Genomic DNA, 24,050 nt, shown 5'->3' on the forward strand with positions numbered 1-24,050 from the left:
CCCAGAAGATGATAATGAAGCTGAAAAATTCCCATAGCTTAGTGATGCTGTAACTGTTATAAGGGCATAGCACAATGCCATTTACTCGAGTGTATTAGTCTGTTCTTATGCTGCTACTAAAGACATACTCCAGACTGGGTAATTTATAAAGGAAAGAGGTTTAATTGACCCACAGTTCCACATGGCTGGGAGGCCATGGTGAGAAGCAAAGGAGGAGCAAAGTCACGTCTTGCATGGCGTCAGGCAAGAGAGAGAGCATGTGCAGGGAACTAACCATAAGATCTCATGAGACTTGTTCACTATCATGAGAACAGCACAGGAAAGACCCACCCCCATGATTCACTTATCTCCCACTGGGCACCTCCCATGACACGTGGGAATTATAGGAGCTACAATTCGAGAGTTGGGTGGGGACACAGCCAAACTGTGTCATCAGGTATTTGTGGTGATGCTGTTGTAAACAAACCTACTGTGCTTTCAGTTGTAGAAATGTCTAGCACATACACTTATGTACAGTACATAATACTTGGTAGTGATAACCAACAACTGTGTTACTGGCTTATGTATTTATTATAAATTTATCATTATTTAATTAATTTATTTATTTTGATATGGAGTCTTGCTCTGTTGCCCAGGCTGAAGTGCAGAGATACAATTATGGCTCACTGCAACCTCTACCTCCCCTGTTCAAGCGATTCTTCTGCCTCAGCTTCCTGAGTAGCTGGGATTACAGGCATGTGCCACCACGACTGGCTAATTTTTGTATTTTTAGTAGAGACGGGATTTCACCATATTGGCAGGCTGGTCTCGAACTCCTGATCTCATGATCTGCCCGCCTTGGCCTCCCAAAGTGCTGGGATTGCAGGTGTGAGCCACTGTGTCTGGTCCATTATTTTAGAGGGTACTCCTACTCATTAAAAAAAAAAAAAGTTAACTACAAAACAGCCTCAGGCAGTTCCTTCAGGAGGTGTCCCAGAAGAAGGCATCGGTATCATAGGAGATGACAGCTCCATGTATGTTATTGCCCCTGAAGACCTTCCAGTGGGACAAGATCTGGAGGTGGAAGACAGTGATATTATTGATCCTCACCCTGTGTAGGCCTAGGCTAATGTGTATGTTTGTGTCTTAGTTTTTGACAAAAAAGTTTGAAAACTAAAAAAATACAGTTTTAAAAATTGAAAAAGCCTTGTAGAATAAGGACAAAATGAAACAGAATATTCTTGCACAGATGTGTGATGTGTTTGTGTTTTAAGCTGTTATTATAAAAGTCAAAAAATTAAAGAAATTGAAAAATTTATAAAGTAATCTAAGGTTTATTATTGAAGAAAGAAAAATATTTTAAAAATAAATTTAGTGTAGCCTAAGTGTACAGTGTTTATAAGGTCAACAGTAGTATACAGTAATGTCCTAGGCCTTCACATTCATTTACCACTCACCCAGAGCAATTTCTAGTCCTGTACGCACCATTCATGTTAAGTGTCCTATACAGGTGTACTATATCTTTTTTTTTTTTTTCGTTTGAGACAGCGTATCTCTCTGTTGCCCAGGCTGGAGTGCAGTGGCGCAGTCTTGGTTCACTGCAACCTCCGCCTCCCAGGTTCAAGCGATTCTCCTGCCTCAGCCTCCTGCGTAGCTGGGATTACAAGTGTGCACCACCACAACCAGCTAATTTTTATGTTTTAGGAGAGATGGGTTTCACCACGTTAGCCAGGATGGTCTCCAACTCCCAACCTCAGGTGATCCACCCGCCTTGGCCTCCCAAAGTGCTGGGATTACAGGCATGAGCCACTGTATCCAGCCTAAAATCTTTTATATCATATTTTGACTGTACCTTTTCTGTGTTTAGATACATAAATACTTACCATGTGTTACAGTTGCCTGCATTATTCAGTACAGTAGCATGCTCTATAGGTTTGTAGCCTAGGAGTGATATGCTATACCATCTAGCCTAGGTATATTGTAGGCTATTCCATCTCGGTTTGTGTAAATATACTCTATGATGTTTGCACAATGATGAAATCACCTAAGGATGCATTTCTCTGAATGTATCCCTGTCCTTAAGTGACTCATGACTGTATTTGGAATCTGAGTGCCGTGAAGTCAAGAGCTGCTTTCACCAGCCTTGATTTTCGCATACTGTATGACAGAAAGTAGGCACTGATCTATCTCTCTACTGGAAAATCCAAGGCCCAATTCTGCATCTGATTTGTTATTGATACAAAGAATTAGAATTTCACTCTTTTAAGAAATCCAAACTGCACTTTCTAAATCTTACTTTCTTATTCAATTTTTTGTAGATTTTTTTCTATTACTACTACTATTGCTGAAAAACATGATCTGTGGTAGAAATATTAATAATTGTGCTTTGAGAGTATTGAAGTAGGGTAAGAATAATACAGTATCAGATCAGAGAGAGGGTGGGACCAGATCTCACAAGATTTTTATTTGGAGTTTGGATTGGATTTGCCTGTAATGGATGCCCATTAGGGTAAATCAGGGAAATTGACACAATGTGGTCTGCACATTAAAATTGGAATTATTCTGGCTCTTACGTAGAAGCAAAGAGATCAGTTGGCTGGAGCTGGAGTTCAGGCAATAGATAATGGCGGTTTGGGCTAGAGTTGACACAATGACCATGGTAAGAAGTGGTCATGTTTGGGATGTGTTTTTGGAAGTGGAAGGACAGGGCTGGTGGGTAGGTTAGAGGTGGAGAAGAAGTGAAAGGAAATGAATCAGGAATGACTCCTTTGTTTTTGGCCTGAGCAAGAGTCATTATTTCTTGATATGTGATGTATTTGCAATTAATCATATTCTGTAGTCCGTGGATGTGTGTGTGTGTATGTGTGTGTGTGTGTGTGTGGGTGTGTGCATATTTGTGTGTGGCCTTTCTCCAGAGTTGACCAGTTCCTTAAGGCATTCCTCTTTGATTAATCCTATATTTCACCTATATGTGGTCATGCTCTATGCAGAAATTGCTCATCGGTCACCCTATGACCTGGTGTGCCTGTAGACAAGATCTATTTGTTTAGCACAGTGTTTTAGGAAATTACAGTTACCAGGAGGTTATACATATAAATTCAGATTTCCACCTTCTTTTTAAAAATGAGAAGTTCTGCCCACAGTGAACCTGAATTCCCATATGGCCACCCTTAGCTAGAACTGAGCAGGAGCTGCCACTTGAGCCTGCAGAGCCAGCTGATTCTCCAGATGTGCCTGGGGCTCATCAGGTTTGCTTCCCTCACATGTGTCATCACTGCAGTTGTTTGCAGCCCTTGCTCCCCGCTAGACCCCCCTGGCTTCTCCCCTTGCATTGTGCTGACCGTTCGCCTTTGTGCTCTAACATTTTAAAATCCAGCAGCAGTAGTGTCCCAGCCGCAAGCATGAGTGCTGGTCTCACTTGTCAAAATGGTGATGGTAGAGGGAGATGAGACTTGGGGACAGCCAAAGCTGGCCACGCCAGGGCTGTAGTATCTGTCATCTAGAGTTGTGTCATGTGGTTGTTTACTTTTTTTAAAGTTAAATGTGACCCAAGGCTTATATACCCTTCAAGTTCAAGACTGTTCATTTATACCATTTTGTATTTATTGGAAAACTATGGAAACTCTCTTGAGAATAAGGAGAATGACCTGAACTTGGCATTTCTGCAGGGCCAAGCACAAAGGAGGTATTCACTAAATATTTGTCCAAATGCATTATTCAACTGTATTCTCTTTGTCAGAGAAGTCTCTGCAAATGAGTCTTTGCAAAGATTTCAAAATTGAAATAAGAGGTTAACTGTCAGGATGAATCAGTTTTTATTTTTATTCATAGATGACTTCTGACATTTCCAAGCTGTTTCACAGAGTGGATCCCAAGTTTACAGCTTGTGATACCAAAGCACCAGACACGCTTTAAAGTGGTGTACTAGAAAAAAAAATAGTCTGCATTTTGAATTCATCAAAATGTAGTATATATCTTGTTGCTCTCTTTGGGGGGCCACTAAATATATCCCACCCACTCCAGTGATTAAATATTTTTTTCCCTACATATCCCAGTCCAGTGATGAAATATTTTCTTCCCTATCTGTCCTAGTCCTGTGTCTTCATAATTTTAGTAGCAGTATAGCACAGATGTTGAAAACATAGATTTAGAGCCAGATTTTGTGGTATCAGATCCTGGTTCTGCCTCTCATTTGTTAAGTCACCTCCACATCAGTTTCTTCGCCTGTAGAATGAAGAAGATGATGCTGTTTTTCTCGAAATACTATTATAAGGAAATAAATAATACATCTAAATAATACAACTAAATCTTTATAAGTCTCTTAGAACATATGATACATAGTAAATGCTTGCTATCATTATGTCTAAGAACATTTCATATTTCTACTGCCTGTTTCCGTATGGCCTATGAGCTGAGAATGGTTTTTACAGCTTTAGGTGGTTGCAAAAAAATCAAAAGAAGAGTAATATTTTGTGACATGTGGGAATTATGTGAAATTCAAATTTTAGTGTCTATAAATAAAGTTTCATTGGAAGATAGTCATTCCAATTGGTTTATTTGTTTATGTATTCTCTATGGCTGCTTTCACTTTACAACAAAAGGTAGTTAATTGTTTTTGAATGAGATATGTTCCTGCAGGTCATCATATGACATATTAATGAAACCTGAGACTTGTGAGATCTTTCTCTGTGAATTGACACTACCATGTTCTCATGTTCAGGGCCTGCTTTTGCCTTCCTGCTTGAGATGAAGAAGTGCTTAGTTGTTGTCTCAGTCCTTTCAGATATTGTTGATATTTTATTACACTTTTCTGCCAATAGAAAACACTAAAGTTATGCTTGTGATATAGTCACATCAACCATTTAATGAACATCTGTCATCTTAGTTTAACAGGTAAACAAATAGATGCAGAAAGGCCAAGTAACTTGCCCAAAATTCTATGGCCAATAAGAGGCTTCTTGTTTACAGATGAGGTCATTAATGGACATCCATAATTATTTATAATATGAATAAATATTTATATTTCTTTTTTTTTTTTTGAGATGGAGTCTCGCTCTGTCACCCAGGCTGGAGTGCAGTGGCGTGATCTTGGCTCACTGCAAGCTCTGCCTCCCAGGTTCATGCCATTCTCCTGCCTCAGCCTCCCGAGTAGCTGGGACTACAGGCGCCCGCCACCACGCCCGGCTAATTTTTTTTTTTTTTTTGTATTTTTAGTAGAGACGGGATTTCACTGTGTTAGCCAGGATGGTCTCGATCTCCTGACCTCGTGGTCCGCCCGCCTCGGCCTCCTAAAGTGCTGGGATTACAGGCGTGAGCCATCGTGCCAGGCCTGTATTTCTTTTATATAATGCTGTTTTTGTTGTTGTTGTTTGTTTGTTTGTTTGTTTTTTTGAGACAGAGTCTTGCTGTGTTGCCTAGGTTGTAGTGCAGTGGCATGCAGTCTCCATCTCCTCTGGGTTCAAGCAATTTTCCTGCCTCAGTCTCCCAAGTAGCTGGGATTACAGGTGTGCACCACCACACCCAGCCAATTTTTGTATTTTTAGTAGAGATGGGGTTTTGCCACATTGGCCAGGCTGGTCTCGAATTCCTGCTCAAGTGATCCTCTCGCCTCGGCCTCCCAAAGTGCTGAGATTACAGACATGAGCCACCGTGCCCAGCCAGTTGTTTTATATTATACTATTTTTTGGAAAGTGGAGAGTGGATTTGAGAAGGGTTTCAGGCTGCCCAGGTGTTATATTAGCTGCCCTTGCCATCATCAGTATTTTCTAAGATCCTTTCTATGCCTATATAACCCCATTTGTTTCTCCCATGCGCTTTACCTATATAATATATTTTTGCTATGCCTAAGACCTGAAAGTGAATTCGGTTATTTGTTGGCTATTTTGCAGAATTGTACTTCTGGTTGGGTGGGGGAGGGGGATTAGACGTAGGCAGGTGACGAAGGCCACTTCTGCCCATTGCTTTTACTGACAGTGGGTAGCAAGTCCTCAGGGGACTTTCCCCTCAAGGGGAAATTACCCCTTACCCGGCTTCCTGAAGTTCTGCCTCTGGAAAGTGGCCCCTGCATCTTGCACATCTCTGTGTTATTTTGATTGATGGAGAAAATCTCTTTGTCCCTGAATCTATCGCTGCCTGTGAAAAAGGCAGCTGGGAACAGAAAAGCAGCTTTGTTTCAGATATGAATAAGTAACAGTGTATTCTTTACTGATTCTGTGGTGAAAATTTACTGCACTTTCCCTCATCTGAAGTATATGAATGATGAAAAAGGCACATGCTAAAAATTATGAGTTGGCTATACCTAATACCTGTTTAAAAACAGATAGAGGGAGGGGAACAAGGGTTGAAAAACTACCTACTGGGTACTGTGTTCACTACTTGGGCAATGGGGTCATTCGAGACCCAAACCTCAGTGTCACACAACATACCCATGTAACAAACCTGCATATGAACTCCCTGAATCTGAATGTTTTAAAAGATAATTAAATTATGCCTTGTAAAAAACTAAATAAAGTCTAGTTCAAGGGTCAGCTCCTGTCTGAAGCCTTTGCCCACTCCCTGGCTTGCAGTGGTCTTGGGGTCTCTCTCTCCTCTGTGCTTCTATAGCACTGGCACACTTTTCTATTCCAGACCTTACACATCGCACTGTAATTGTTATTTTCTAAAAAAGAGTATCACTTCCACTGAATGGTAAGCTGTTGAGTGTGCAGAAATATGGAATCTTTATTCATCTTTGTAATTCAGGTCTCTTCAGGTACACACACTTGTGCGCACACAGACACAGACACACACACACACACACACACACAATAAAAACAGATAAGGAATCACGAGGGAAGGAAGGAAGGAATAATGCCAAATTTTAGGAAACTTCAGAATGGCTCCTTCTTCCCCCTCCTCCATTTCAAACTCAGAGTAAAGTTTTGCTTCATATGAATGATATGTATATATTTTTTAAAGTGAGAAATGAAGAAGATAAAAGAAGTATTGGTTAAAAAATATCTATTATTGACAGGAAGTGGGACTGTTCATCTCTGTGGAGATTTTATTATATAAGGCAGTAATTCGATACAAGATAATACAACATTTATTAAATATTACATTGTATTCTGTAGTTCTCAGGGCATTTTCTTATAATATTCTATTATTTGATCTTTACAGTGACTTTTGATTTAAAAGGTTAGGTAGCTGAGCCAGGTTCACCAGGTAGTTAAAGGTCAAACTGGACTTAAAGCCGAGGCTTCCTGATTTTCTATGCGGTGATCACCCCATTGCATAATAATTCATTGTATCACAGACAGGCAAGGATCTACCAAACTTACAGTGAATGGAGTGGGATTTTCTGGCATCAGACACTAGAGCAGGATTATCTGTGGGAGTTGATGCTATTTATCAGGAAAAAGAGTTTAGAAATTCTATAAGCTTTGTCAGTTAAAATCTTGGACTGGTACTAGTTTTAAGCACAAAAAGTATTTAATTGTTAAGCCCAAAGTGCCTTAAGTGTTAAGAAATTAATAACCAGAAATACAGACTGAACACCTCAGCCCTGAAATTGATGACCAAATCACGTACTCCCATAATGGAAAGGCTGGAAGACATTGTCACACTGTGATGTGAGACGCAGTGATGAAGTGACAGTCCTTATACTTTTAGTTGGCCTCTGCACCCGGATGTTGTAGGCTCATTTACATTTTTAATGCGTCTCGTTATCATTGCTTTCTCAGGAACATATGCCATACTCAAGGCCTATTATTTTGTCGTTTATTGTTCTTTCTTCCACTTTACTGTATATTTGTGTGAAATTATGTCCAGACTTTGTAGTGTTTTTGTTTTTTGAGATGGAGTCTTGCCATGTTGCCCAGGCTGGAGTGCAGTGGCACGATCTTGGCTCACTGCAACCTTCACCTCCTGGGTTCAAGCAACTCTCCTGCCTCAGCCTCCCGAGTAGTTGGGATTGCAGGTGCCTACCGCCATGCCCGGCTAATTTTTGTATTTTTACTAGAGATGAGGTTTCACCATATTGGCCAGGCTGGTCTCAAACTTCTGAGCTTGCCTCGGCCTCCCAAGTGCTGGAATTACAGGCATGAACCACGATGCCCAACAGCTTGATTTGCTTTCTTTGTAAGGAAAAATGCAATTTATTTCAGCTTAAAATATTCTTTATGGGATTTAAAAATTTCTGTATTTGTACTTGTTCTTTCTATAAAAGACAAATTTGGGCCGGGTGCAGTGGCTCACGCCTGTAATCCCAGCACTTTGGGAGGCCGAGGTGGGCGGATCATGAGGTCAGGAGATCGAGACCATCCTGGCTAACATGGTGAAACCCCATCTCTACTAAAAATATAAAAAATTAGCTGGGCGTGGTGGCGGGCGCCTGTAGTCCCAGCTACTCGGGAGGCTGAGGCAGGAGAATGGCGTGAACCCTGGAGGCGGAGGTTGCAGTGAGCTGAGATCACTCCACTGCACTCCAGCCTGGGCGACAGAGTGAGACTCTGTCTAAAAAAAAAATTAATTAATTAAAATAAATAAATAAATAAAAACCCCCAAAAGACAAATTTGGATAGTCTGCAGATCATCCACAACATTTTAATTGAGCAAAAAATGAAGCCACTCATTTATTTGCCCAGGTATATATGGAGTTTCTGCTGTTGGCATACCCCATATTTTATTTGTGTTTTTCTTTTACAGAGTGGGAAACCACCCATCAATGATATGTTCACAGACCTCAAAGATGGAAGGAAGCTATTGGATCTTCTAGAAGGCCTCACAGGAACATCACTGGTGAGCAAGTCATCTTTGTAAACAACGGAGTCTCCGGTCATTGCTGATACTTGATGACCCAGTGTGGGTACCCATTAAAGTGAAAGTATCCATTTTACTTTACGTTCAAATGTAAAGGCTGAAATTCGGAACATTTTTAACAAAGCATTTTAATGAGTGCTTTGATACAACAACATTTTGGCTCTTCTGAGGGCTCTGTTTTTATTGAAGATAAAATTACCTTAAATGTTTATTGCTCTGAGACAGCCCAGGATGAGAGAATTACAAAAAAGAATGGATTTATAGAGAGGACACAATGTTTTGAACAGTAGAGTCTGGAGACAAACACATTTAAGAGTTAAATATTTTTTAAAACAGTTGTTAAGGCTGGGCGCGGTAGCTCACGCCTGTAATCCTAGCACTTTGGGAAGCCAAGGTGGGCGGATTGCCTGAGCTCAGCAGTTCGAGACCAGCCTGAGCAACATGGTGAAACCCCATCTCTACTAAAATACAAAAAATTAGCTGGGTGTGGCGGCATGTGCCTGTAATCCCAGGTACTCAGGAGGCTGAGGCCAGGAGAATTGCTTGAACACAGGAGGTGGAGGTTGCAGTGAGCCGAGATTGCGCCACTGCACTCCAGCCTGGGCAACAGAGTGAGACTCCGTCTCAAAAAAAAAAAAAAGTTGTTAAAAACTATGACATCTATTTTTTATTCAGATTTTCAGGATTATATTTTGTTGATTTATTTTTTAAATACAACTCTATTATTTTATGTGTGGGGTACTCCAAACTCATGCAGATAAAACTGCCAATAAAGAGGATGCATGTATGGGTACAAATGTTAACTCTAGAGGTAGAATTACTATCACAGTACAGAGAGATGCACTCCTGAAGATGAATTTCTTTCTTGCAGAAGTGTGGGATGTCATTCTCTCTCTTTGCCCTCCAGGTAGTGGGTAGACAACTGTTAGACAGGCTGATTCCTCTCTCAGATAAGGTTCTGGCCAGTGAAGTAGAAAGAAGCTGCATAGGTTATCTTTCCCCAGATGGGAATTCCCTGCCTTCCGAGGGCTCTTGCAATGCTACCTGGAGCCTGGGATGGTGCCTCTGAATCCTCCTTGCTCTGTTCACATCTGTGCAGAATAAAGAGGACACAATTTCTCTAAAATCCTTCTGCAGCCAGACCAATTAAGAGAAAGGAAGCTTTGTTCATAGAGCACTGGTTTCCAAACTTGTCTGCACATTAGAACTACAGGCAATCTTTTAAAAATCCCAAGTCCAGACCACACCCTAGACCCATTAAGCCACACTCTTTGGGGGTGGGGTTGGACAGAGGTATTGGTGTTTTTATGAAGCTGCCTAGGAGATTTCAACGTGCATGCAAGTTAGGGAACTGGTATCTTAAGATGTTGTTAGTTGAGGGATTTTCATACTGTGAACACCAGCTTCCAGGGTGGTAACCTGAGACCTCAGCCAGATCTCCTGCCTCTGAGGGGCCCTGTACGCTGAGCTTCACTTCTGTGTGTATCTCAGTGCTAGTGTTAGTCAGGCATATGGAGGGACAATCAGTTTTACTTGCTTTTTTGTTTTATTTTCCAGCCAAAGGAACGTGGTTCCACAAGGGTACATGCCTTAAATAACGTCAACAGAGTGCTGCAGGTTTTACATCAGAACAATGTAAGTGTGTAATGTGAGTTCTGGGGGTCTGTGCTGCCATCAGCATTATTTATTGTGAAACTCACCAACTGCTTGATGCATTGGCATCCACTGATTCTTGCAAACATTTTTTCTTATGAGAAATACTGAACTTTTTCTGTGAGTGAAGAAACAGTCATGTGCTTTTTCTGATGGCTGTATTGATCTGTAGTATAAATAATACATTTTTGAGATTTAAGCTTACCTGATTCTCTAAAATGAAATTTCTCTTATCTCTCACTTATACTGCTGTCCAAATGTGCTAAAATAAAAACCTGGAGTTCTGTGAAGAAATTGTCTTAAAAGCGTTTTTGTTTTTGTTTTTTGTTTTGTCTTAATAGGTGGAATTAGTGAATATAGGGGGAACTGACATTGTGGATGGAAATCACAAACTGACTTTGGGGTTACTTTGGAGCATCATTTTGCACTGGCAGGTGGGGAAATTTCCAATCACTTTTTAATAGAGATGGAAAATGTGTTGTTTGTCTTTTAGTTTCTTAAGGCTGCCGTAACCAAGTACCACAAGCTGCTTGGCTTGAACAACAGAAATTTGTTGTCTCCCAGTTCTGGAGGCCAGAAGTCCAAGATCAAGGCATCAGCAGGGTTGGTTTTTCCTGAGGGCTCTGAGGGAGACTCTGATCCAGGCCTTGCCCCCAAATTCTGGTGGTTTGTCTGCAATTTTTGCAGTTCCTTGGCCTGTGATAACATAGCTCCAGTGTTGACGTGGTGTTCTCCCTGTGTGCATATCTGTCAAATTTCCTCTTTTTGTAAGGACATCAGTCATATTGGATTTAGGGCCCACATTACTCCTGTATGACCTCATTCTAACTAGTGACATCTGCAATGACCTTATTTCCAAATAGAGCCCCTCTCTGAAGTACTGAGGGTTAGGACTTCAACATATTAATTTTAGAGAACATAATTCAACTCATAACAATTTTCAATGGAAGAGGCTGACAAAATGCCCTATTTTCCTGGCATAGGGAAAAAAGTACCTACCTTTCTTATGTTAAATTTTAAAAAGGGACATAATTTCACATCTAGAAAAGTTGCAGGAATAGTTCAAAGAATTCCCAAGTACCTTTCACTCACATTTCCTAAATGTTACCAGTTGTCTATATTTCATTTGTACTCTCTCTCAGTCTGCCTAAAATATTTAGTGTGTATTTTCTAACGCCATGGCATTCTCCTAAAAACAAGAACTCTCTTATGTAAACACAATAGCATATTGGTATAATAATATGAGATGTAAAATATTGATATTTAAAATGCCAATTATTGATTATTAAATATGAAAACTTAGTATATAATTATTAAAATCAAGAAAATAACATTGAAATAATACAATTATGTAATCTACAGATCTTAAGATTTTGTCAGTTGTCCCAATAATATCCTTAGTAGCAAAAGAAAATCTGAGATCATGCATTACATTTATTTTTCATGTCTCTTTAGTCCTCTTTAATCTGGAAGTTTTTGAGTCTTTGTATTTCATGATATTGATATTTTTGAAGAGTGCTGGCTAGTTATTTTGTAGAATGTCTCTCTCAGTGGGCTTGGGCTTGGCTGAGCTTTCCTTATGATTAAGTTCAGGTTGTTCACTTTTGGCAGGGACGTCACAAAAGTGACGTGAGTTCTTCTTAGTGCATCATATCGGGGATAGGTGATATCTGTTCTTTTTCTGGCAGTGTTAACTTTGATTGTTTGGCTAAGGTGGTATTTACCAAGTTTCTTCCCTGTAAATTGACTACCCTTTGTTATTAAAAGTATCGGGTGGGGATATACTTTGAGACTGTATAAATATTTAGTTTTTATCAAACTTTTAGCACCCGTTCATAATTTTTGCCTGGACCAGCTATTATTATGATGCTTGATAGATAATGATTTTCTAATTTCATTAATCCTTCTACATTAGTTGGTGTTCTACTTGTAAAGAAGAGCTTCCCCTTGTTTCTTGTTTCTCTATCTTATCTCTCTCTCCATTCATTTATTCATTTATGTATCAGTATAGATTCATGGACATTTGCATAGGTTTATGATCTTTTACTAGTACTCATTTCAGTGTTCAAGTCATCCTAGATTTGGCCAGTGTGAGCCCCTTAAATTGGCTCCTGTGTCCCTTAGATAGATCTATGTCATTCTTTGAGCACTTTCTTAAAACATATTTACTAATTTAGAATAATACTATAAAATGTTAGTTCTAGAGTATAATCGTGATTGCAGTCAGGAAAGATACTTTATTTTGTAGTCACTCAAAAGTTTTTCCTTTCTCATTTTTGTAGAAAATAAAATTTAATTGAAAAGGTCTTTGTAAACACATAGAGTTAAATATGACTTTCTATGACTGTGAAAGTTATGTTCATTGTAACCAAACATAGTACAAGTATTGCTTAAGATATAGAAAACACAGTAATGTATAAAAGTGAGGTAAAAATCACCTCAAATTCTAGTCCCCCAAAATAATCACTGTTAAAATGTATTGCTCTAGTGTCTACAGAAAAATCTGAAGTAAAATGAATGCCAGTTACCTGATCCATAATGGTTAATTAGTGCAATATTGCTTTTTCAAGGACTTCATTGAAGTAAGTTGAAGTAAATTACTGAAGTATTAGTTATGGACAGGCCTGGTTTCTCTTACATAGGTGAAAGATGTCATGAAGGATGTCATGTCGGACCTGCAGCAGACGAACAGTGAGAAGATCCTGCTCAGCTGGGTGCGTCAGACCACCAGGCCCTACAGCCAAGTCAACGTCCTCAACTTCACCACCAGCTGGACAGATGGACTCGCCTTTAATGCTGTCCTCCACCGACATAAGTGAGACATTACTCTATCTAGAAGTGGGCTTTACAAATTCATGTCTCCTCTCTGTCCCTTTGCTGCCACCACTACTCCCTGAAGCCCCTTCTCCAGTGCCACTGCTCTCCTTTCTGCACATGTTCTACCAAAACCTTAAGAAAAGAAATATCATGGAAGAAAACTACCCATCAGGTTTTTATTTCCTTAGGACTTAAATGCTGCAATACAAGGTCCATAGTTTCTCCTGCATATTTATGAATTTAAAAAATATGAAATAATTCACAAAGTTCAACCCCACTCATTCAGCACTAACTGATAATGTATACAAAAAATTGTGTTAGCTTTTCTTCTCAAACTGAAAGTAAAACTCTGTAAATTCAATGCATTCCCAATTAAAAATAGCCAAATTGTCTTTAATGAAACTTGTGAACAGATTCTAATTATATAAAAGACGAGGCCCAAGAATAGCCAGTAGACTTCTGAGGAAGAATCAGGCTGAAATACTTTCCAAAAAGAAACCAAAACTATGAAGCTATATTAATTAAGACTATGCAGTACTATCAATATACACACCAATATAAGCTGAACCATATGAAATTGCCGACATGTGAGTGTTTTTGCTATATAAGAATGGTGTTTTCATATGGTTCAACCTAATAAAATTAAGAACTCAGAAATTGCTCCATTACACAGGAAAATCTGATATACGCTTGAGCTGACATTGCAGATTAATAGATGATTTGGACAATTGATTACCCATATATAAATAAATGTATTGGATCTTTACTTCACCACACTAAAAAAAAAATAATAATTTCTACATGGATCAGGGATTTAAATGCCAAAGGCAAAATTTGTTATATTTTATTGTTGTAAATGATTACTTTTCTCAAATTTCACTTCCTCTATGTTTTTTTGCTGGTATATAAAAGTGCAATAGACTTTTCTACGTCTTATATCTGGAAACTTAATCAGTTCTTACAAATTTTAGTAAGTTTGTCTCTAGATTGTAGGTTTCTTGGAGGAGGAGGGATTAGAATGTCCTAGAATTATGATCCTTTTATTTCTTCTGTTTTCTTTTTTGTTCTCTATTGTGCCTTGTCCTTCAATGCAATGTTGATTTGAATTGGTGATAGTGGGCAGAATTTTTGTTGTTGATAATAAAAGGAGTGCTTTTAGTGTTTTACCATAAGAATGATAGTTTTTGTAGCTTTTTTGGTACACTTTTTATGAGGTTAAAGGAGGTTGCCCTAGGTTTTTAGTTGGTTAAGGGATTTTATCAAGAAACTGTAGAATTTTAGCCAATATACCATTCCATTTATTAATTAATTGATTCAACAAATACGTGTGGGGTGCCTTTTATGTGCTAGACACAGGGTATACAGCAGAGAACAAAACAGGCAAAAATCTTAGTTCTCGTGGAGCTTATGTTCCAACAGAGGGAGACAAGACAATAATAAAGTTGTGTAGTATATAGAAATGTACACACACTGAAGGAAAATACATCAGACAAGAGCAGAGGAGGCACTTGGCATCGGAGAGGGCAGTGGCTGCAGTGACCTGAGTGGGGGGAGTAATGGGAGATGAATTCAGGGAGGGAAGTGGGGGAAGTGCATCCCAGAAGGTGGGTGGGTCTAACATGCAAGAACAGACACAGAATAAAGAAAATGATTAACTTTTGGATAAGTCAAAGCAACAATAATGTCCAATTTGTGAGATTAAAAGAAAATCAAGATAGAAATGAAATACAGTCCTAGACAATATAGTAGTAGCATGGAAGCAGGGGATTGGAGGGAAACTCTTCCAAGGCTTTTGTTTTAGGAATATCCTGAGAACAGATTAGAGCTAGATTTTGTGTTCTGCTAATCTTGATCTTTTAATTGAAGAATTTAGTCCATTAACATTGATTATGATTATTTATATATTTAGGTTCATTTTTACCGCATAGTGTGAGCTGCTCATTTTTCTTATTTTTTCTGTGGTTTTTTTTTTTTTTACTTTCTTATCTCTTTTTGTATCGGTAGGTTTCCCTTTACCCCCTTTTCTTCTTCTACTCTTTGGGAAACATTATATACTACTTCTAGTCTTAATGGTTACCACAGAAAATAGCAGTCCTATTTAGCTAATACAAGACCCTTGGAAAGTATTATCTGTTATTTTCATATTTGTGAATTAATTTCAAGTATGTATTTGACAAGCCTTTGGGATATAAAAATAAACTCAAAAAAACCTCACAAATAAAAATAATCTAAAACTAAAATGTATTAGATTATAACAATGCCTACTTTGTTTCCACATATTTCATCTTCATTGCATTTTATTTGCATGGTTTTCAGACCTGATCTCTTCAGCTGGGATAAAGTTGTCAAAATGTCACCAATTGAGAGACTTGAACATGCCTTCAGCAAGGCTCAAACTTATTTGGGAATTGAAAAGCTGTTAGATCCTGAAGGTATTGTCCAGTATTTAATTTCCACCTTGATTTTGCTTTACAGTTTTGCATTCTTGAAAAGCAGTGTTTCTTTGTCCTTTTAAAAATGAATTATGAGACTTGAAGAACCTTTTCCTTTTTGGAGTATAGGTGCGAGTCATTTTATTACTGACACTTATTAATACTTTTGTACTTAGCAGTTTGTGGGATCTTTTAGGTAGAAATTTAACTACAGCACTGGACAATAGTTAATCTAAATTAAGTAAGAGTTAAAGTTTTAAGAAAATGTAATTATTAGATAAATTCAGTATCTGGTTAGTCCAATAAAATGCATTTTTATGTGAGCATCTTGCATGTGATGTAAAGACTTTAGTTATAAATGTTGCAGGATTGAATTCTAGACTTATTTTCATAGTATGAATAAAGTCTGTATCTTTATCTTAAATGGTAACATATGGTAGCTTATCTTTGACCATTTTGGGGAGGCTTTTAGGGAAGACTTTAAAAAATGAGATACTGAACAAAAATAAGTAATCCCTTTTGCCTTTGTCTCATATATTATGAAGTGGCAATTTACTGGTATTGCAAAGATTATATATTAGGTATTGTTTATGGGTACTAAGGAGAGTTATTTTATATCTAATATTGAGCAATTCACATATTTTGGACACCTAATTTAAGCTGGTTCTTATATTCTTCCACTTTTAGATGTTGCCGTTCAGCTTCCTGACAAGAAATCCATAATTATGTATTTAACATCTTTGTTTGAGGTGCTACCTCAGCAAGTCACCATAGACGCCATCCGTGAGGTAGAGACACTCCCAAGGAAATATAAAAAAGAATGTGAAGAAGAGGCAATTAATATACAGGTACAGGTAACATTTTATTAAGATGTTTGGCTTGCCGTATTTGTTTTCTCCTAGGTACTAGATAAAAACACTTTTAGAGGGTTTTTTTCTTGACTGAGAACATCTTGGTTTCTCAGCTTACATTTGCATAAGAAGTTCAGCTTAGCAGTTAGCATTCTGTCACATGTGTGTAATAGAACACCATAACTCAATGGACTTTATTAAGAAGGAAAATACTTTATTTCACCCAGCAAAACTGGGCTGTTGCTCATGCTGCTGCATGACATGCTGGGAATCTATGTTTTCACATCATCTGGTTGCCAGCTTTTATTTCTGTCATGTGCTAAAGATGGTTTTTCTCATATCAGCCTAGTTTTTTTTCTAAGTACTAATTGTCTTTCTTTTTTTGCCATTGAGAAAAGATTTTTTTTCCATTATATATCTCACAAGGGCTATCAAAATGTAAGCCTTATTTTCCCTTTCCTTTAGGAGGAGTAATGTATGGTAAACTACTTGGTGAGCTTTTCATGAAGGGATTACGATGATTTCATTCATCAGGATATAAATGAATTTTTAAAGAGAGAAATAAAATCATAATTTATTTTCTTCCTTAGTTCTACTGTTTGAATCAATCCATATTTAATCTCATTCTGTTTTAGTCTAGCCAGTCCTTGTAATTCATAAGATGAGAGAATCTTAAGAATTGGACCTTAGAAGTCACTTGGTTCAACATTCTAGTGACCAAGCAACCAAGACATACATGTAGATTTCAAAATTATAAGAACTACATTTCAGAGAGAAAGAAAGCTTCTCTGGATGGACCTTAAATTCATCCTGTTGCTACTTGTTTTGGGTTGTTACTTAAACTCTCAATCACAGTTTTGTCTGCAAAATGTGGTTAAAACCACCAACTTCATAAAGATAATGAATTCAAAGTATCTAAAATGACATTAATAAACACTCAACAAGCAACAGCTATCATTATTATCATTTTTCTTCTTGATTTGTTTTGGCATTCTCATTTAACAGATTTCTTTAAAAAATATTATTTAATTCCCATATTATGATACTAGTCTTGAATTGACATAGCATCTTTTTTTTCCATCCTCTGAGATTCAGAGAATTTACTTATTCTTTTAAATTTTCTTTGGGTAATATGTACCCATCCTTTTATTTCCCCCGTTTCAAAAATAGTGTGATTTATAGAAAAAGAAAAAAATTTACTGAAAAGAAAGGATTGAGAAATGAGGCCTGATTGTGAACCCAGGGCTCTCTTTTGTAGTGAATATCAAATGATGCTGAGGAAAATTCCTAACTTACTATAATTGAAAAAAATGCTAGGAAGTATTTGCCTCTAAAAGTATAGTTATTATTCTACATTAATGATGCACCTTTTTAGTTGGCTCAGATGATCTTCTGAGTTTGTTACAGGGTTTTAGATTCATTTCCTTATTGCATTTTGTTAGAAGGAGGAGATATTTTATTTAGTTCTTATAGTTAAGGGCCTTCTCTCTTAAAAAGGAAGGAGACTTCATTTACTTTTCATGATGTGTAGATAAAATAATCACTTCTGTTTAGGGCTCAGCGTGGCATGATAAGAACTTCAGAAAACATTTGCTATTTGATTAAGTGCAAGTGTATTAACACCTCTTCATTTGCAAGCTTTCATTAGTGTCTTAGAGGCTGAATTACGTTAATTGAAAACTAAAATGTGATCAAGTTTTAATCATCTCTCTGACATAGCTTGCCATCTGCTACTCTCCTAATAGTCAGACTTCTTCTGCCCTGTTCTTTCTACAAACATACGCTGGTGGTCAATGAATAATTCCTGCATTTCTCTTTAAATATCCGTCAGTTGAAAGTTTCCTCATGTGTTCGAATTAATACCGTCTGAACATTTGTGTTTAGATAGTGCCTTCCTTCTCGACCTCATGGATGCTGGTGCCTATCTCAGTGACCTTTGGCTGGTCACTAACTTTCCTGGTTCTTAGAAATTCTCATTATAGTATAGAGGTTTGGAGCTAAATGATCTCCAGGGGTTATTTTAGCTCTACAGTTTTAGGATTTTTTGTCCATAACTTAACTCATTTTTCTTTCTCTGTCTTTGGCACCATCTGTCTTTTAATTATCCACTGTTTCGACTCTGTGCTGATTGGTTCATTTCTTAACTCATATATTCAGTTTCCTGGATTCTTCAAGCCTTCCTCCAAAATGTCTTTTGTGTGTGTTTTCATTTTATTGCAGCCTTCATACTCATTTTTATTTTATTTTTTTAGTATTATACTTTAAGTTTTAGGGTACATGTGCACAACATGAAGGTTTGTTACATATGTATACATGTGCCACGGGTGGTGTGCTGCACCCATTAACTCGTCCTTTAGCATTAGGTATATCTCCTAATGCTATTTAAAGACTTCATTTTCTCCTATAGTTTACAAGCTGTGGCCTACCTCTGCTACTCTGCCCTGCAGTTAGAGTGGACTTTTCCCCCAAGACTCTTGTTCATGCAGGTTCCCCTCTGTTAAATGCTTCTGCACCCACCATTATATGGCAGCCTGCACATTTTTCCTCAGTTTAAATGGAGCCTTTTCAGAGAAGTCTTTTCTGATTAATCTATCAAAATACAACTCTCTGTCTCTCTCTCTCTTTCTGTCACTCTATCTTGGTTTCTTACTATCACAGTATTTTTGTAAACTGTGTTAAGAATTTTAAATTGTATCTTAAGAGCATTGGGAAAGCCAGTGAAAGGTTTTCAGCAGGTACGTCTTATGATGGCATTACATTTTTGAAAGATCATTCTGGCTGCTGTGTGAGAAATGGACTGTGGATTGTGAAGGTGAGAGTGTTGGGTGGGGGAAAACAGGAAAGTAAAGACACTTGTTAGCAGGTATTCCAGTTCAGAAGATGGATGTGTGTGGTTGTGGAAATGGAAAGGTCTGGATGGATTTGAGATAAGTCTTTTTTTTTTTTAATATATATTTTTTATTGATCATTCTTGGGTGTTTCTCGCAGAGGGGGATTTGGCAGGGTCACAGGACAATAGTGGAGGGAAGGTCAGCAGATAAACAAGTGAACAAAGGTCTCTGGTTTTCCTAGGCAGAGGACCCTGCGGCCTTCCGCAGTGTTTGTGTCCCTGGGTCCTTGAGATTAGGGAGTGGTGATGACTCTTAACGAGCATGCTGCCTTCTAGCATCTGTTTAACAAAGCACATCTTGCACCGCCCTTAATCCATTTAACCCTGAGTGGACACAGCACATGTTTCAGAGAGCACAGGGTTGGGGGCAAGGTCACAGATCAACAGGATCCCAAGGCAGAAGAATTTTTCTTAGTACAGAACAAAATGAAAAGTCTCCCATGTCTCCTTCTTTCTACACAGACACGGCAACCATCCGATTTCTCAATCTTTTCCCCACCTTTCCCCCCTTTCTATTCCACAAAACCGCCATTGTCATCATGGCCCGTTCTCAATGAGCTGTTGGGTACACCTCCCAGACGGGGTGGTGGCCGGGCAGAGGGGCTCCTCACTTCCCAGTAGGGGCGGCCAGGCAGAGGCGCCCCTCACCTCCCGGACGGGGCGGCTGGCCGGGTGGGGGGCTGAACCCCCCACCTCCCTCCCGGACGGGGCGGCTGGCCTGGCGGGGGCTGACCCCCACCTCCCTCCCGGACGGGGTGGCTGCCGGGCGGAGACGCTCCTCACTTCCCAGACGGGGTGGCTGCCGGGCGGAGGGGCTCCTCACTTCTCAGACGGGGCGGTTGCCAGGCAGAGGGTCTCCTCACTTCCCAGACGGGGTGGCTGCCGGGCAGAGGGGCTCCTCACTTCTCAGATGGGGCGGCTGCCGGGCGGAGGGGCTCCTCCCTTCTCAGATGGGGCGGTTGCCAGGCAGAGGGTCTCCTCACTTCTCAGACGGGGCGGCCGGGCAGAGACGCTCCTCACCTCCCAGACGGGGTCGCGGCCGGGCAGAGGCACTCCTCACATCCCAGATGGGGTGGCGGGGCAGAGGCGCTCCCCACATCTCAGAAGATGGGCAGTCGGGCAGAGATGCTCCTCACTTCCTAGATGGGATGGCGGCCGGGAAGAGGTGCTCCTCACTTCCTAGATGGGATGGCGGCCGGGCAGAGACGCTCCTCACTTTCCAGACTGGGCAGCCAGGCAGAGGGGCTCCTCACATCCCAGACGATGGGCGGCCAGGCAGAGACGCTCCTCACTTCCCAGACGGGGTGGCAGCCGGGCAGAGGCTGCAGTCTCGGCACTTTGGGAGGCCAAGGCAGGCGGCTGGGATGTGGAGGTTGTAGCGAGCCGAGATCACGCCACTGCACTCCAGCCTGGGCACCATTGAGCGCTGAGTGAACTAGACTCCGTCTGCAATCCCGGCACCTCGGGAGGCCGAGGCTGGCGGATCACTCGCGGTCAGGAGCTGGAGACCAGCCCGGCCAACACAGCGAAACCCCGTCTCCACCAAAAAAATACGAAAACCAGTCAGGCGTGGTGGCGCGCACCTGCAATTGCAGGCACTCGGCAGGCTGAGGCAGGAGAATCAGGCAGGGAGGTTGCAGTGAGCCGAGATGGCAGCAGTACAGTCCAGCTTCGGCTCGGCATCAGAGGGAGACCGTGGAAAGAGGGGAGGGGGAGGGGGAGGGAGAGGGAGCGAAGTTTTGAAGGAAGGTCAGAATTACTTATGTATTAAATGTGGAAGATGAAGGAGAGAGAAGCTGGGGCTGGCTCCCAGGTTTGTAGCTGGAGTACCTAGTTGCAGGGAGGAGCCATCTACTGAGTTGGAGAAGTCTGAGGAGGAACAAGCTTTGGAAGAAAGTAAAGGTTTTGAATATGGACATGGTTTAATATGCCTAGGAGGCGCTGAAGTAGAGATGTGAAAATAGTGGGATATGAGAGTTTGGAATCCAGACTCCTAGGTGGTTCTAGATGTTCTTTAAATCCAATAGGAGTAGATGAGATTACTCAGACACAGTATACAGTGGGGAGAAAAAAGAGCCTAGAACTTAATTTTGAGGAGATTCATTACTTATGAGTCAGCAGCTGCTGTTGAACCAGCAGGAAACCAGGGCAGTGTCACAGAAGCAGGGAAACAAGCTTCTGAAAGCTCAAGTTGCTCAGCCTTGAGGAGTGCTACCAAGGTCTGAAGCAAGGAACGTGGGTGGCCAGCTCTCCGGGCTTACTTGGGACAGTTCTGGTTTGGATTTGTTGTTTGAGCACAGTTATCATCAAAAATACTCTAGTTTGTTGGTTAATTATATGGTCACCCTGAAGATGATGCTAGAAAGGTCCGTTTGGCAATGGGAAGGTTATTGATGACATTGGTAAAAGCCTTTTCAGTTGAGTCATGGGGCAAATAGCAAGTTGAAGTTAAAGGGAATGTTAACAAACCATAGCTGTTAAATACTTGAGCATTTTTTGTATTGTTCTCTATACGTTTCTGTACATTTGAAATATTGTACTTAAAAATCATGCATGAGAGTTGATAAAGTAGAGACAGAATGTAGGCAAGTCTTCAAGAAATCTTGCTCTGAAAGGGAACAAAAGAACTAGGGAGAGTCAATTTGGTTATAAGCTCTTAAAGTATATATGGAAATACTCAGTTATTTAGAAAGAGGTTGATAGAAATTTATTCCATGAGCCCTAAAAGGCCATCAGATAAACCAGAGGGCAACTGCCTAAGAAAAATACAATCAGTACAGCAGCCTGTGTGGCTGTCTTTTAGTGTCTAAAATGCAATGCTAAAATGCAGTTCAGCAAAAGCAATTTACCTAAGGGTCAAGGCAGAATTCTCACCTTTCTTTTTCTTTAAATTACAGAAAAGGCCTAACACGTTCCAGCTCCTCTACGAAACTTTCCTGTTTTAGCCTTTGTTGAACTCAAATATCATGCCTTGTTGGGACCATGGCATTTACTTTTCTAATAGCTGTTCTTCAATTTCTGTTCAGAAGTGATTCATGTGGGTTCTCTGTCCCTAACTATATTAGAATCTCCTTGAGTACAGAATTCATGAGTGCATGCTGCTTTTATACTCTTTGCTACCCTAGTGCACTTACTCAATGCTTCTAACTCATTCATGGCAGTGCCCATTTGGCTCCTGAGAATTGGATTAGTGCCTAAGACAGAGTGGTGGGTACTTTGGGTTCGCCATACAGTGTGAGTTTGCTGAACACCTCTTGCTTTGATGATTAGTGTGGGTTTTTCTTGGCTTTGTTTTTACAGAGTACAGCGCCTGAGGAGGAGCATGAGAGTCCCCGAGCTGAAACTCCCAGCACTGTCACTGAGGTTGACATGGATCTGGACAGCTATCAGATTGCGTTGGAGGAAGTGCTGACCTGGTTGCTTTCTGCTGAGGACACTTTCCAGGAGCAGGATGATATTTCTGATGATGTTGAAGAAGTCAAAGACCAGTTTGCAACCCATGAAGTAAATATCTGTAGTTTCTTAGCAGGGTGTGTCCCCCACGGGACCTGAGCCTTAATCAGGGACTCTACTCTCCTATTTGTTATCTACTGAATTCTGTTCTTTGGAAAGGTCAATGGTTTATTTCAGGAACTGTGATATTTAAATAGTGCTTTGTCACAAAATTGGTATGGGTGATTAAACTGTGCCTCAGAATTAGATTTTAGATTTTAGTCTCCTTGTGTGTTTTGGAGAGCCACTGATGAAAATCATTGCATAGTACTGCTCAGTTCTGAAGTGCATTGTTATATTTCAAAAGCAAACGAGTGAACCAATACACCAAATCTTTAAGATTTGAGTGTTCCCTAGGAAATGATTATTCTTTTTAATTGCATGATTAAGCAAATGTCATACCCAGGGTTCCTGTATTTTTTCATATCATAAAAGTTTCCTGCTCCTTTGAGGACATACTATATTGCAGCATAGTGAATTTCACTATATGGAGATTTCTTTTGGTTAAATTTTTCTTTTGTATAGTTATGTGAATTGACAGATCTTATTTGTTGTTTTGGATAGAAAATAATATAAGTGGTAATATCTCTTAAACAGTTCCTCTTGGGTGAGTATGGTATTTTATTTTATATATATATTTATATATATAATAAATAAATATATATTTATATATAAATATATATAAATAAAAATAAATATATATTTTATTTTATATATAAATAAAATATATAAATAAATATATATAAATAAAATATATAAATATTTTTATATATAATCTATTTATATATTATATATGTATATGTATATGTGTGTGTATATATATATATTTATAATTTTTTTTTTTTTAACAGAGTCTTACTCTGTCACCCAGGCTGGAGTGCAGTGGCACAATCTTGGCTCACTGCAACTTCTACCTCCTGGCTTCAAGTGATTCTCCTGCATCAGCCTCCCAAGTAGCTGGGACTGCAAACATGTGCCACCACGCCCGGCTAATTTTTTGTGTTTTTAGTTAGAGACGGGGTTTCACCTTGTTGTCCAGGCTGGTCTTGAACTCCTGGCCTAGGTGATCCACCTGCCTCAGCCTCCCAAAATGCTGGGATTATAGGTGTGAGCCACCACACCCAGCCTTTTATTTTA

The 24,050-nt window shown here is 39.6% G+C and overlaps 1 protein-coding gene across 1 annotated transcript in view, besides 2 other annotated features; it reads left to right on the top strand.

Moving 5' to 3' along the window:
- Positions 1-24,050, top strand: part of UTRN (utrophin) — a 567,700-nt gene that overhangs the window by 127,879 nt on the left and 415,771 nt on the right. The window contains exons 4-10 of the mRNA NM_007124.3: positions 8,665-8,757; positions 10,336-10,413; positions 10,773-10,865; positions 13,074-13,246; positions 15,565-15,680; positions 16,368-16,528; positions 22,722-22,925. Of these exons, the coding sequence (NP_009055.2) occupies positions 8,665-8,757; positions 10,336-10,413; positions 10,773-10,865; positions 13,074-13,246; positions 15,565-15,680; positions 16,368-16,528; positions 22,722-22,925 (918 nt within the window). The remainder of the gene's footprint in view (positions 1-8,664; positions 8,758-10,335; positions 10,414-10,772; positions 10,866-13,073; positions 13,247-15,564; positions 15,681-16,367; positions 16,529-22,721; positions 22,926-24,050) is intronic.
- Positions 10,410-10,579: an enhancer, noted in NCBI's record as "experimental_90731 CRE fragment used in MPRA reporter constructs". NCBI's record gives its function as "activates a minimal promoter by MPRAs in K562 erythroleukemia cells, with activity observed for the non-introgressed 6:144744844 variant allele {active_cell/tissue: K562}" and the evidence as "EXISTENCE:reporter gene assay evidence [ECO:0000049][PMID:34662402]".
- Positions 20,407-20,909: an enhancer, noted in NCBI's record as "H3K27ac-H3K4me1 hESC enhancer chr6:144754756-144755258 (GRCh37/hg19 assembly coordinates)". NCBI's record gives its function as "activates a minimal SCP1, AML or CMV promoter by ChIP-STARR-seq in primed H9 embryonic stem cells {active_cell/tissue: H9 hESC(primed)}" and the evidence as "EXISTENCE:reporter gene assay evidence [ECO:0000049][PMID:30033119]".

This window comes from Homo sapiens, chromosome 6 (genome assembly GCF_000001405.40).
Source record: "Homo sapiens chromosome 6, GRCh38.p14 Primary Assembly".
NCBI classification, from domain to species: domain Eukaryota; kingdom Metazoa; phylum Chordata; class Mammalia; order Primates; family Hominidae; genus Homo; species Homo sapiens.